The sequence below is a fragment of the Homo sapiens genome, chromosome 5, assembly GCF_000001405.40.
Source record: "Homo sapiens chromosome 5, GRCh38.p14 Primary Assembly".
NCBI classification, from domain to species: domain Eukaryota; kingdom Metazoa; phylum Chordata; class Mammalia; order Primates; family Hominidae; genus Homo; species Homo sapiens.
The window spans coordinates 5,745,061-5,759,188 of record NC_000005.10 but is presented as its reverse complement, the minus strand read 5'-3'; the positions used below and the strand labels follow the sequence as shown (position 1 = coordinate 5,759,188).

The 14,128-nt window shown below is 40.7% G+C and overlaps 2 annotated features.

Moving 5' to 3' along the window:
* Positions 6,119-6,258: an enhancer, noted in NCBI's record as "active region_22327". NCBI's record gives its function as "activates an Ori minimal core promoter by ATAC-STARR-seq in GM12878 lymphoblastoid cells {active_cell/tissue: GM12878}" and the evidence as "EXISTENCE:reporter gene assay evidence [ECO:0000049][PMID:35858748]".
* Positions 6,409-6,468: an enhancer, noted in NCBI's record as "active region_22326". NCBI's record gives its function as "activates an Ori minimal core promoter by ATAC-STARR-seq in GM12878 lymphoblastoid cells {active_cell/tissue: GM12878}" and the evidence as "EXISTENCE:reporter gene assay evidence [ECO:0000049][PMID:35858748]".

Sequence of the window (14,128 nt, the reverse complement as noted above, 5' to 3'; positions counted from 1 at the left end):
AAAGGTTTTGTGAACAATAAGCCAAACATATTCCCCATCCTCCTCAGAGTATATTCAAGTAGGGAAGGATAGAAGAAAAGCAGTGGCAGCAAACGTGGTAAACTCTGATATAAAGCACAGAACATGGTCAGGAACGCTGGCTCACTCCTGTAATCCCAGCTCTTTGGGAAGCCAAGGCGGGAGGATCACTAGAGGTCAGGAGTTTGAGACTAGCCTGGCCAACATGGTGAAACACCATCTCTACTGAAAATACAAAAATTAGCCGGGTGTGGGTGGCACACACCTGTGATCCCAGGTGATCACACTTGTGAGGCACTCACTTGTGAGGCTGAGGCATGAGAATCGCTTGAACCCAGGAGGTGGAGGTTGTAGTGAGCCCAGATCATGCCAGTGTACTCCAGCCTGGGTGACAGAGCAAGACTCTGTCTCAAAACACACACACACACACACACACACACAGACACCACTATATAATAACTGGAGTTTCTAATCCAGGATAGGAGTAGCGTAGTGGTAGGCATGGCTTCTTGGAGGAAGTGACAACTAATCTAAGCCTTGAAGAATAAATTGGGAGTTAGCCAGGAAAAGAGAAGAAGGGTTAAGTCATATTCTAGTCTAAGGCCATCAGAGAGCAAGTGCCAAGGTCTGATAGCAAAGCCAGATATGATATATTCTGGGAACTGTGAATTCCACATGGACGTGCAGAGACTGAGGAAGGTGGTGGAGTGGAAAGAGAGGCCGCATAGGATGGTCAGGGAAATTTTAAAGGCATGTTGGGAAGGGAATTTGGACCCTATCCTAAGGGCAATCAGAATCCATTCCAGTATCTTTTAAGCAGAAGAACAGCAAGAGTAAGTTTTTTTGGAGAGGGATCATCCTGGCTATTTTGCAAAGGTTGAAATTGACTGAGGTGAGATTGGAGTCAGGTGAGTCTGTGTGAAGATCATTGCTGTAACATGGCAGGAGGTGACAGTGGCCCAGCACGTGATGACAATGATAAGGATGAAGAAATGAAATTAATTAGAAAATATGGAGAAGACAGACTCCACCAGACTTATGAAGAGCAGATATGAGGACTGAAGAAGGCGGAATCTGCAAAGATGATGTCCTGTCTACTTAGGGGAGCACTGGTGTTGCCATTCTTCTCAATAGAAAGCCAAAAGGTGGCAGAAGGTTTAGGAAGGAAAGAAGGAAGATTATAAATCCTGCTTTGAAACTATTAAGTTGCCCAAATGACATCTAAGTGAACATGGCTGATAGTCTGCTATAGATGTGGTTTGAGTATACGGATTTGGACCATGAGTCATTCTGTGCTCAGTCACAAAAATAAGAACCATTCTGGGTGAATGCAAGCAATTGGTATGTTTCTTAAACACTTCTATATCATGAAAAAAGTATTTGGGTTTATTTCCTTGTTAATTCGTATTTATTTTTTCCAATAATATAGCAACATATAATCTAGAATTTGTGATTCCATTAAAATATTTTTCCCATTTTAGAGATCTGAAACTCTCATGGTAGGGTCCAAAACTCTCCTGAAGATAAGGCACAGAGAGAATGGACAGTGGGTGTGCCTGATAGGTCCTCTGAGAAGTGGATGTGAAGATGGGATGAGAAATGCAACCAATTAATTGAAAGAAATTAATGTATACAATAAAGGACAGAGAGCAGAAGAAAAAGATGAGAAGAACCTTGAGACCGTGATGCAGATTTGCTACCTGTGAGAGAAGAAGGGATTGAATAGGAAGGGTCTGAAACCTCAACAGACCTAAGGCAGCTTCAGCCAGGCCATGGGGAGTCCTGGAGCAAAGACTTCCTGTTGGAGCCACTCATGGGCATGAATGGGGCAGTTCTTGTTCTCTGGCTATGCCAAAGCATGGGTGCAGAGCAGCCTAGGGTGAAAACAGAGGAATGGGAATAAGGCTGAAGCTAATAATCAGGCTTGCACGCCCTTCATTTTTCCTCTTGAGTTGGGGAAAGCTGATGTCCGCACACAAGAGCAGGTTGGGGGTGGACTAATCAGTAGTGCCACTCTGCATAATTTAAGAAACACTGCAACAAAATTAGGCAATTTAGTAGTGACATGGCCACAGCCTGCTTTGCTGGGGCACTACATATATTTGGACAGCAAGGACAGGCATGGAAAGAGTGTTCTGTCACACACTGAATGTGCAGAGCCCCGGACCACAAGAAGAGCACAGCGCAGTGCAGCCCCCTAGAGAGTTGTAACTGCAAATCATACTGAATCCAGCAGGGTTTATGACATTCTCATCATTATGGTTTGTGGAGCCAGGCTCTAAACCCAGCTGCTGGTTGTTAATGTAAAGCTTCTGAGTCCAACTGCAGAGCTCAACCTGGAGAGGATGAAAGCACCTTCCACACATGGAGAGACCTGGTCCTCAGTGGGCAGAACCTGTCCTCACATGGCTATAATGACTGAAACTAACAGAAGCAAGCCAATTTCACTAACCAACCAATCACATACAAAACAAAAAAACAAAAAGGACAATAACAAAAGTTACACGTTCATGAAATGATCTGAAATGGTTTAAACTGCAACAATCAGCAAAGGAAGGCATGGATTATGCAAACACACACTGCTTGTAATTGGTGAGAGAATTAGAAGCTCCACACAATAGGAACAGCAAAGAGGATGGGTGGAAAAGAAACCGTGTTTGGCCAGGCATGGAGGCTCACGCCTGTAATTCTAGCACTTTGGGGAGCTGAGGCAAGCAGGTCACTTGAGGCCAGGAGTTCAAGACCAGCCTGGGCAACATAGTGGGGCCTCATGGCTACAAAATTTTAAAAATTAGCCAGGCATAGTGGTGTGTGCTTATAGTCCCAGCTAGTCAAGAGGCCGAGGTGGGAGGATTGCTAGAGCTGGGCGGGTCAAGGCTGCAGTGAGCTGTGATCACTCAGTCCCACAAAAAAACAAAAAGGAAAGAAACAAAGAAACAGTGCAAAAAGTTTAATACTGAAAATGGGAAGGAAGTTACAGCCCTCTCAATTTCAATAACCTCAAATTGCTTGCATGTCTCACAAAACAACAGGTTAAGGTATGAAGAAAAAGTTGGGTAGCCAGGGTCTGCTGTCTGAGGAGTCAGATGCAGCCTCCAGAGAAGTGTCACTCCCGTCCATTCTCACACCCAGATGCACCAATGGGCACCTGCAGTGATTACCGTGAGGAACAGACCAGTTCATTTCTAGCCCCAAAGTCTCTGCCCACAAGCTCAATGGTGCATGAATACATTTTTATTTTAGTTTGGGGCAGAATGTATTGACATCTTTAGGAATTATTTGCATACCACACATTCTTAACATTGTCTAAGACAATTGATGAACATTTATTTAAAATAGTTCTTATTCCAAATATTGCTACTGTTATTGTTCATAAAAGTGTGACTTGAACTGACATACAGAGTAGATTTTGAGTATCTACAAGTTTTGCCACAATGAATGCTATGAACGTCACAGACTTTCCTAAGGTTAAGAGATACTTCAAATCCTATGTTCATGGAGGTTCTGAAAACAAGAGAGAAAGGCAATCCAGTACAAAGGATGAGGCCACCGAAATGCCAGAGCATTTGTTGTTATTTCACTTCTGAACTTGATGACAAGGGAGGACCTCCACCCAAGGAAACACCAGGACTCAGGCCCAACCCACATCACTCATCTTGAAAATGGAGAGTCTGTGAACATTTGAATAAAAAGATTAGCATTATAACAGCAGGGAGAAATCTCAACAGGGAAATACTCTATTTATAAGCTGAGTAGAAAATATAAATATTTCATCCTCATTTTAATGTCTCAAGTGAATGCTAATTTCCATAAATATCCCAGTGTCCTTTCAATTTTCTAACATTTACTCATTCTGTGATGTAAACAGTCTTAACACAAAGACAGGAAGCTTTCACTATGATCATTTAAAGAAGAAATACTCACTTTTCTCCTGGCATGATCTTCTCCAGTTTAACTTGAACGGGAGGAAGTTCAGGAAAACAGAGACTGTTCCTTCCTTGTAATACCTATTCAGTTTCCGGCTGGGTGCGGTGGCTCACGCCTGTAATCCCAGCACTTTGGGAGGCCGAGGCGGGTGGATCATGAGGTCAAGAGATCAAGACCATCCTGGATAACACAGTGAAACCCTGTCTCTACTAAAAATACAAACAATTAGCCGGGCATGGTGGCGGGTGCCTGAGTAGTTCCAGCTACTCGGGAGGCTGAGGCAGGAGAATCACTTGAACCTGGGAGGTGGAGGTTGCCATGAGCCGAGATTGCGCCACTGCACTCCAGCCTGGCGACAGAGTGAGACTCCATCTCAAAAACAAAACAAAACAAAACAAAAAACATATTCAGTTTCCAATGAAACTGGAAATCACTAATCACACCTATTTTTTTTTCTGCTTACAGTAGCAAACCAAACTTTCAAGTCACTGAGACAGAATGAGTCTTGTTTTTCTTAACATGTAAGTGAAGCAAACAACCAGATGAACAATTTAATTATAATTGAAGTACAGGTGCAAATGTAAGGCAGGATCCCCCAGGGCTGTCTCTATTGGGTTCAATTTCTAAAACTGATCATCTGGCTGACTCTGGCTAAGGCTGTTGCTGTTAGATGTCAGGACAGGGACCTCTGGAAAGTTAGCTTGGAATTACCTAGTTTCAAGCATGTCTTGTAAGCACCAAAGAAAGGAAGTGATTGGTCAGAAAAACACATTGAGTCAGGTGCCTTCCCCATGGGATTCTCCTTGTTCTACTTCAGGTAAAGACGAGTAGTGAATTTACAAAAATGTATTACAAGAGCATAACCTCACTAAAATGGGATACGCATTCCTGTGAAGCAGAAATGGGACCCAAACACACTGTGTTTAGTAGAGTCAAGACTCAGACCTCAGAATCAGATGGGAGACCCATTCCTGCTGAGCAGCATAGACTGGAGGAGACCTCTGTGAGCAGGGACCAGTGAGGCTCACTTACCATCGTGTGTCCCTGCAGCGACAGGGCTGAAGAGCTGATATGAACCGAGTTCTGAACTAGGCCTTAATGGGCCCCTGAAGCCTTAGTAGCACTGTAGTCTCCTTTCTCCAAGGAAGATGTGTCCCAAAGCCCCCAGTGAACACTGAAACCACAGGTTGCACCAAACCTTCTATGTACTATGTTTTCTCTTATATATGTACCTATGGTAAAGTTTAATTTATAAACTAGGCACAGAAAGAGTTAACAGCAATAACTAATAATACAACAATTATGATAATATGCCAGCATCACTACCTTTGCATTTTGGGGCCGTTCTTAAGTAAAACAAGGGTGACTTGAATATAAGGACTGTGATACCACAACAGTCAATCTGATAACTGAGATGGCTGCTATGTGACTACCAGGCAGGGAGTGTAGACAGTGTGGATCCACTGGACATAGGGAGGATTTTTGTCCTGGGCAGGATGAGAAGGATGGTGAGAGATTTCATCATGCTATTCAGAAAGAATTTAAAACTTATGATTGTTTATTTCTGGAATTTTTTATTTAATATTTCTGGGCCACCGTAGACCTATAAACAAAAAATAAAACTTTAAGGCCCCCAATCATCTGAGTGGACCTCTCCTCTTGGCCAAGGGCATTCCAGAGTTAACCTGAAAATCTAGTTCAGGCCATGATGGAAGAGGGGGTTGGACCTAACCTCATTCTACCCTTCCAGCATGAACATCAACACAGACTTTAAGTCTGATAAGAAACATGTACAACCTATTCTCTCTGAAGCCTGCTACCTGGAGGCTTCATCTGCATGATAAAACCTTGGTCTCCACAACCCCTTATCTTAACCCAGACATTCTGTTCTACTGATAATAACTCTTTCAACCAATTGCCAATTAAAATATGCTTACATCTATCTACGACCTGGAAGTCCCCCCTCCCACCTTCGAGTTGTCCCGCCCTTCCAGATCAAATCAGTGTAAATCTTACATGTATTGATTGATGTATTATGTCTCCCTAAAATGTATAAAAGCAAGCTGTACCCCAAACACCTTGGACACATGTTATCAGGACCTCCTGAGGCTGAGTCACTGGTGCGTCCTTAACCTTGGCAAAATAAACTTTCTAAATTGACTGAGATATGACTGAGTTATTTTGGGTTCACAGACCAAAGGTAACTGAAAACACAGAAGTGAAACTGCAAATAAGTGGGTGCTATTATATCTGTGTGCAGACAGGGAGGGGAAAATTAAGCACAGGTGAACATACACATGAAACAACTTGAGACAAGCCTGGAAACTAAAATTCCAAAGCACGTGAAGAAAGACAGTCCCAGTGATGGAAGTCTGAGCTCCACAAACTCACTAAAGAAAGCATTCATCCCAAAGAAAGTGCAAGTGAGAGAGCAGTCTTCCAAAAGAGAGAGTGGCATCCAAAGAGACAAAATAAGAGCAATAGAACAGAAAGCGAACACAAACCAAGTAGAAAGAGACTATTTAAAGAGCCAGTTAGAAAGTATAAAAAAATAAATTTCAACAGGGTAATTAATGTGTAATAAGAATAAGGTGTTAGGGAATTAAAATGTTGTGGTGGCAAATATCCAAGTCTCATGGCCCCAAGTATGTTACCAGTGGAAGGTATCCAAGTAACCGGCGGTGAGTCTGTAGAGCTCTGCAGCAACCTTAGTTCTTGCCTCCTCAAAAGAAAGAATTCAACTGAGGGGCATAAGGCAGAAGAGGAGACCGGGACAAGTTTCAGAGCAGGAGTGGAAGTTTATTTAAAAAGGCTTTAGAACAGGGAAGAAAACAAAGTACGCTTGGAAGAGTCCCAAGTGGGCACTGAGGTCAGGTGCAGTGTTTAACCTTGACCCCAGGACTTTGTAGGCTTGCCCCTTTCCCATGATTCTTCCCTCAGGGGGGGCATTATTTCCCAGATGCACGGTGTCCTCCTTAGCCTTGGGAAGTGAGCACAGGCAGTGTGTTTAAGAAGCTGTGCACATGCCGGTCTGAGGCTTTCTTCCCTTTTCCTGTGGAGTGCCCCGAGTGGGTCATACTCCGCCATTTTGTCTCTTCATGCACATGCCCAGGAAGTTACTTCTCCCAGGCGCCTGCATTCAATGAACACTTTACTGCAACAGCTGTGGGGTATCAGTAAATGGCCTCTCCCTGGCACACGCTGACAATTTATCACTTTTAGAGAGGCAAAGTGATCATTGTCGAACCATCACCTGACATTCCTAGTGGATGAGGGAGGGCCCTTTCCTGGCCTGCTCATGCTTGTCTAAATACCTGTAACAAAAGACAGCACCAGAGTACTCAACCTGAATTACAGAGAAATTTAGAACAAAGAAAACATAAAAATGATCGTAAAAGAGTAAGGATAAATTGAGAAGCTCCGACATTCACCTGGAGTTGGAGTTAGATGGAATGGTGAACAGGCAACATTTGAAGAGATAGTGGCTTAGAATATCCCTGAAGTAAAAAGAGACATAACTTCACAGGTGTTTCCTGGGTGTATGTGCAACAGGGTAAACTTTCAAAGTCTGTATCTAGTTACGTCATAATGAAACTGAAGAATATCAGGGGTAGAAAGAAACTTATAAAAGTTTCCAGGAGATAGAAAAAAAAACAGTTAACCCACAGAAGACTGATAATTTCTTAACTAAATATTAAAATTAACCGCTGCCTAGAAAAATCCATTAAAGGATTAAGTATATCAATTAAAAGATTTAGTTCATGCAGATAGCATAATTATTCATAATACAAATTGAAGCATCCCGTTCAAAAAAGGTAATTCCAGGCACAACCATAAACAAGAGTTTATGGTTATAATAAGAACCATAAACTCTTATCACTAGAGTATATCTTTGAGTTCTGTTCAACCTCTTCCTCTGTCTACACTTTAAAAGTCTGCAAATCTTTGGATTTGCACATGAATAACCCTCAGATCTGCCCTTTCAGTCCTGCTGCCTTTCTCCCCACGCAAATACCTGTGACCATCTCCTCCACTTCGATACTCAGCCCCACTCAAGGAACTCTTCAAGCAGTAGGATAACATCATGTGAGGTGCCTTTTTTTCTTATCTTGGTGAATGCTATCTGCACCCATTGCACAGTACTAACACACTATCTTATGATTTATCTACATGGTGCAGCAGTATGTTCCTTCAGTGTAAAGCAAAACATAATTTTTATCTGATATTGTATTTTGCAAGCAAAGCCTCAAATAGTTCATTAATTGTTAAATAATTATGTAGATGGCTTGAAGATCATTTTATAACGTGCACAAATGTTTTGCAAATTTTCCTTTATAAGTTTAAATGTTTTTTAATGATATTGGGAGGAATCAGTGGGCATTTCTGTCGGGCTGGGGACATTACAATTTTCCCAATGTAAAATAACAAAACGTAGTCTTCTGCTTTCGGAAAATTCAGAATTAGTTTAGATTTGTGTAATGAAAGTTACTTGGATTTGCAATGCAGTCATTATTGCAGTCACAACTGATTTTTCACCTTCTGGTTTAAGATCTTGTTATGCAACAATACAAGAAACTCATCTACAGAAAGCTCTGCAATGAAACCCGTATTGTAAGAGGGATTCGGTGACCCAACAGAGTGGGACTAGCACACCCGTTGCTTCGGGTCTGACCCTACCTGCCTCTTCATCTGTGCACCATTCCTCTCCCACCCCTAGGACCAGTTCATGCAACTTGAGTTTGTCTGATCAGTCATGATTTTAAGTAGGATGAGAGTTAGGTCCTGCATGTGAGGATTCAGTATTGAATTATACTTGCAGCTTGGACTAGCATGAGGGTTCTAGGTCCTTTGTTCCCTTGACAATGTTGAATTTTACCTGAGCCTTGTGATCCTGAACAATAGTGATAATTGAAGAAACCCTCCCACCCTCTTTTGTCCTGGGAAACAGTTTATTGCAAAGAATCACTCTTCTCTGTGTAACGTATACAAGACTCACAGTTGCTCCCCTGTATACCTACGGAAAAAACAGACACAGATCCTTCAAATTCCCATTCCTTGCCTCTTAAATAATGAGCTGAACTCTTTGCACTCACTCACCAATCTGAGGAAAATACCTGATCCACCAAACTTCTCTCCTTCTCCAAGGTCTCTATACTTCAATTTATCCTCCATCTGAACCAGCAGACAATCTCTCCTTAACCACCTCTCTCAGGAATCAGTTAGAGAAAAACACTCCCTGATGGATTGTGCCATCACACCACCTACTCTCCTAAAGCCAGCTCTTTCTAGCCTAATTCACTTCTTTCTATAAAAGAAGAGTCTTTTCTGCTGACCTCTGAGACAAGTGCACATGTTATGGCCAGAGCACACTCCCTACATCAGTAGTTCCCCTCCCTTCATTGAAACAGTCCCTTTGGATAAAAAGTCTTTCTTTATCTAGTTCCAGGTTTGTTCTTATTTGACACCATGTACTTAAATCTTTATATCTGAGTTCCTGGATCTAGGCTTTTATTTCTGAAATACCCCCAGGGTCAAAAATCATGTCTTTAAATTCTGAGCTTGGGAGCCAGCACTCATTCCTCTAACACCTAACAGTGAGGTCAGACACTGCCTCAGCTTGGGAAAACTGTAGTCCCTGTTTCCTGTCAGCCTCTGACTCCACGGGATGCTGCTACCTTACTTAATTCCTATAGTCTCAGTGTATTCTTCATCATGTGATAAATACTTATTAAGTCACGCAGGTGAATTCACTAGGCTAACCTAGGCTTCCTCCTGAATCTTGTCGCTGTGGGCTTTCCTACAGTGTCTACCTCAGCCCAGTGAGTGGGTATGACCTCATATTCTAGCTTCTCAGAGTCTTCTCAATTCCCCTGTATCTCAAAATTTGAAAAAAAAAATCATCGCAGCACTTCTATTTTAAAATAATGAGGGAGTACTGGGGAAGAATTTTTACAAAACTCATGGAAGCCAAGACATTTTATAGGGTTTATAACATTAAAACAAACTGTAAACAACATAATTGCCCTTCTTTAAAGAACTGTGTTTAAAAATTTCATCTATGTATATGACAAACCATTATAAAACATTTAAACAAGCAATCCAGATCTTTAAAAATCAATACAGTTAGATCTCAGAAAATATGCTGAGTTTAAACATTTTGGATTAAATTTCTCTAAGGATTACAAATATCAATTTCCAGTAGAATGGCCTATCTTCAGATATCAAACTATTCAGCAAGTAAGATATTTTGGCAGCAACTTTTCACAAAGATTTACATTTTGGAATAACTTAAAATGAACTGTGATTATCTCTATATTAGGATGTTCACTGCTTTCTACCATAGCAACCATCTCCTAAATAATCTCTGCATGCTTGGAATTTATGCATAAACTTTGCTGAAATAATTTAATTTGGAAATATAAGGCCCTCCCTGAAGTAATTTGGCACTCATGAGACATTGGCTGTTTTTCCTGGAAAATTTTTCTGATAACTAACATTAATGTAAGCTTGTGTGGCTAGATGATACCTCATCTTATACACACATATGTCAACCACAGGATTGCAGACGCAGAACTACAGGGTACAGTACTCAATAATAGCCCAATGGAATCAAAGTATCCTTGTCTCTTAGCTAGAATTGTTCTCATGCAGATTCAGCTGTTTAAGAAATATGGTTATTATACACTAGAAACTTTCAGAAGACTGCTTCCTGCCCTTCCTCTGTCACCTCAGTAAGAGCAAGTCCTCTCCAAGTTGTCCTCCATGAAAAAAGGTGTGGAGAGAGGAGAGAGCACAGATGCATGTGAGATTTGGTTGGATCAAGTTGTACCTATACCACCTTCAAGCTTTTGACCATGGCCAAGTCACCTAAACACTGGTTCTCATCTCCTTCACTGGTGAAATCATCTAAGTCTCTCTTTATAAAATTGTTATTCTGCAGTGAGATAACACATGCCAATGCACTTGGGAGGCTGAAAGCATGACTCAGTGAAAGTCACCACCAAAAACAGAGAAAACTTCCATGCCAGCTTTGATTTCAATCCCCGTGTTTCAGATAACAAGTGCCACCAACTCAAATATAATTTCAGTTAAGAGCCCCTTATACAACTGTGGTAATTTCCTTCTGCACATAAAATGCACATTATTTTATAAACCCAGAGTAAACTGCTATTAAAGACTTAAAATATAACAGTCCCCCAAATATTCTAATTATGTGTGACTAAGTCATAGGGATTACAGCAGATTTGAATCTGACTTCAACCAGAGGTAAATTGTCCTAGCAACTCAGAGACCCATGAAAGACAAACTGATGTTGTTACTGAAATTCAATGAGATTTTGGGAAAGTGTGTTATGCAGCATTGTTACAGTAAAACTTCCCTAATATAAAAATTGGTATCAGAAATGGGGTGCTGCCCTAACAAATACAGAAATTACATGGCACTGGCAGGGTGGCAAGCAATAGCTAAATGATATTGGAGACTGAAAAAAATGGTTATTTATGTTATGCAATGGCAAAATATTTGGTCAAATTATTATCTCTGATAATCTAAAGTCAGAAAATTTTCTAATGGACTGACCTGGTGGCACTGGACAAAGAGGTTATAAGTCAGATTGTGGTAGTATGAGTTTATTGTTATTATTCTATTTGACAAAGTTCTTTAAGGGGGGTTTGATTTCATAAAAGAACTACAGAGTTTCAAGCAGAATTAAAGGGAATAGGTAGCATCTAGAAATTTCAGATTCTGAAGATTTGAAAAATAAGACATTTCTCATTCATATTTACACAATACATGGGGTTCAGCATACCTTATCATCACACTGAAGGCACTTGTAAGCAATGTTGCAAGATAGATTACAGAGCATCTGAAGGTTTTAATATATCCAGGATGTATGGAATGGATGGCCTCCTGGGTATCCATTTCCCATATTGCTAGATATGTTACTTTTTTCTTTCCATATTCTCAGTGATTTTCCTTCCACTTCAAGAAGTGGCAATAAGGAGCTGCTTTGTATTAATTTATTGAGGGCTAAATCCACCTTGATTCTGGTAACCCAGTTGCCAATAGGTGTGCCATGATGGGTGTTCCTGCATAGCCTAGCTTCTCCCTGACTGAAGGTCAGACTGTGTTATCTGTCTAACCAGGCAATATGTCAAGACTTTCTTTTAGTGTTGGTCTTTTATGAAAACATATGAATGGTCTTTTGTTTTCCCTTTGAAACTTACAGAGCCAAAAATTATAAAAACTTTCAAGGCACATTACATATGCTTGGTGATGAAGTGTCAAACATAGGGTGTTGATACATATAATGATGCTTGAAGAAGAACTGAGGAAGAATTTTGACATTAAGAAGGAAATAATTGATCAGTCTATCTTGAAAAGAAAACATTACATTTAAAAATCAGGCCGGGCGCGGTGGCTCACGCCTGTAATCCCAGCACTTTGGGAGGCCGAGGCGGGAGGATCACGAGGTCAGGAGATCGAGACCATCCCGGCTAAAACGGTGAAACCCAGTCTCTACTAAAAATACAAAAAATTAGCCGGGCGTAGTGGCGGGCGCCTGTAGTCCCAGCTACTTGGGAGGCTGAGGCAGGAGAATGGCGTGAACCCAGGAGGCGGAGCTTGCAGTGAGCCGAGATCGTGCCACTGCACTCCAGCCTGGGCGACAGAGCGAGACTCCATCTCAAAAAAAAAATAAATAAATAAAAAATAAAAAGACACCACATACTCATTAAAATAGCTGAAGTCTAGAACGCTTACAATATGTGAAGCAATAGTGGCTCTCATTTATTTCTGGTGAAAATGAAAAATGATACGGCAGCTCTGAAAGGTAGATTGGCAATTTGTTACAAAGTAAACATAGTCTTCCCCTAGAATCTAGTAATGGTGTAGCTATGTATTTACCTAACCAATTTGAAAAATGATGCCCCAACAAAAACCTGAACATAAATATTTATGGCATTTCATTCATAACTGCTGAAAACTGAAAGCAATCAAGAAGTCCTTCAATAAGTGAATGGATAAATGATCTGTGATAGATTTATACAATGGAATAATAATCAGTGATAAAAAGGAAATGAGCTCTCAAGCCAAAAGAAAATGTAAATGAACCTTAACTGCATATTGCTTAGTGAAAGAAGGCAATCTGAAAAGGCTGTATGATTCCAATTATACGACATTCTGGGAAAGGCAAAACTATAATGACACTAAAAAGATCAGAGGTTTCCAGGGGTTCACAGGAAAAGGGGAAATAAGTGAAGCACAGAAGGATTTTTTTAGAGCAGTAAAACCATTCCGTATGGTACTGTAATGGTAGATACCTGACATTATACATCTGTCAAAACCCATAAAAATTTACAGCACAAAGAAAGAACTTTTACATATGCAAATTAAAAGAAGATCAATTAGGAATTTGGAGGATCTCCATGGGAATGCAGTCTGTGACAAAAGAATATAACTGTATTACAAATACATGAAACAACTTCACTAAAGGGGATGGGGGAAACTATGAAGAGGACTGGAGTTTGTAAGACTAAGGACAAAAGAAACTGCACTTAAGCACTGTACTCTGGTTGATAAAGTTGTCACATATGGAGGTACAGATTAACAATTCTGATACTATTACACATGTGTACTAGAATTGAAAAATGAACTGAACAGATTTGACTGGTAGGAGGCAGATTTATCTCTGTTGGAGGAAGAGTTTACAGATAATCAAGAGAAAGGCTAGAATAATTCAGATAGTAATGGATTACATTAGGAGATGTTGAGGCTCAGAAACCAATACCCCAAAATTTTAACATGCTGAACTAAAGAAGCCTCAAGTTTCTCTGACCTTTCCCTCTCCCACTTTCTTTCCCAAAGAAGTTAGATCTTCTTTATCTGCCTGAGATTCAGACCCACCAAGGAGGATAATTGTTTTTTCTTCCCCTCCCTGTAAGATCATGCATGTGACCAAACCTGAACAGATCCTTTTGCAAGATAATGATTGTGTCCAAGGATCCTTTGAATCCCAAAAATACCAATTTGCAAGTTAATGTATGTTCCCCATCCAATAATTCTCCATACCAATCATTTATTGCCCCTCCATGAAATTCTTCTCTTCCCATAACAAAAATCCAAGCCCCCCTTACTTCTGTAACTTCAAGATGGTATATAAGCTTCTGTAACTCATTGAAGGGAT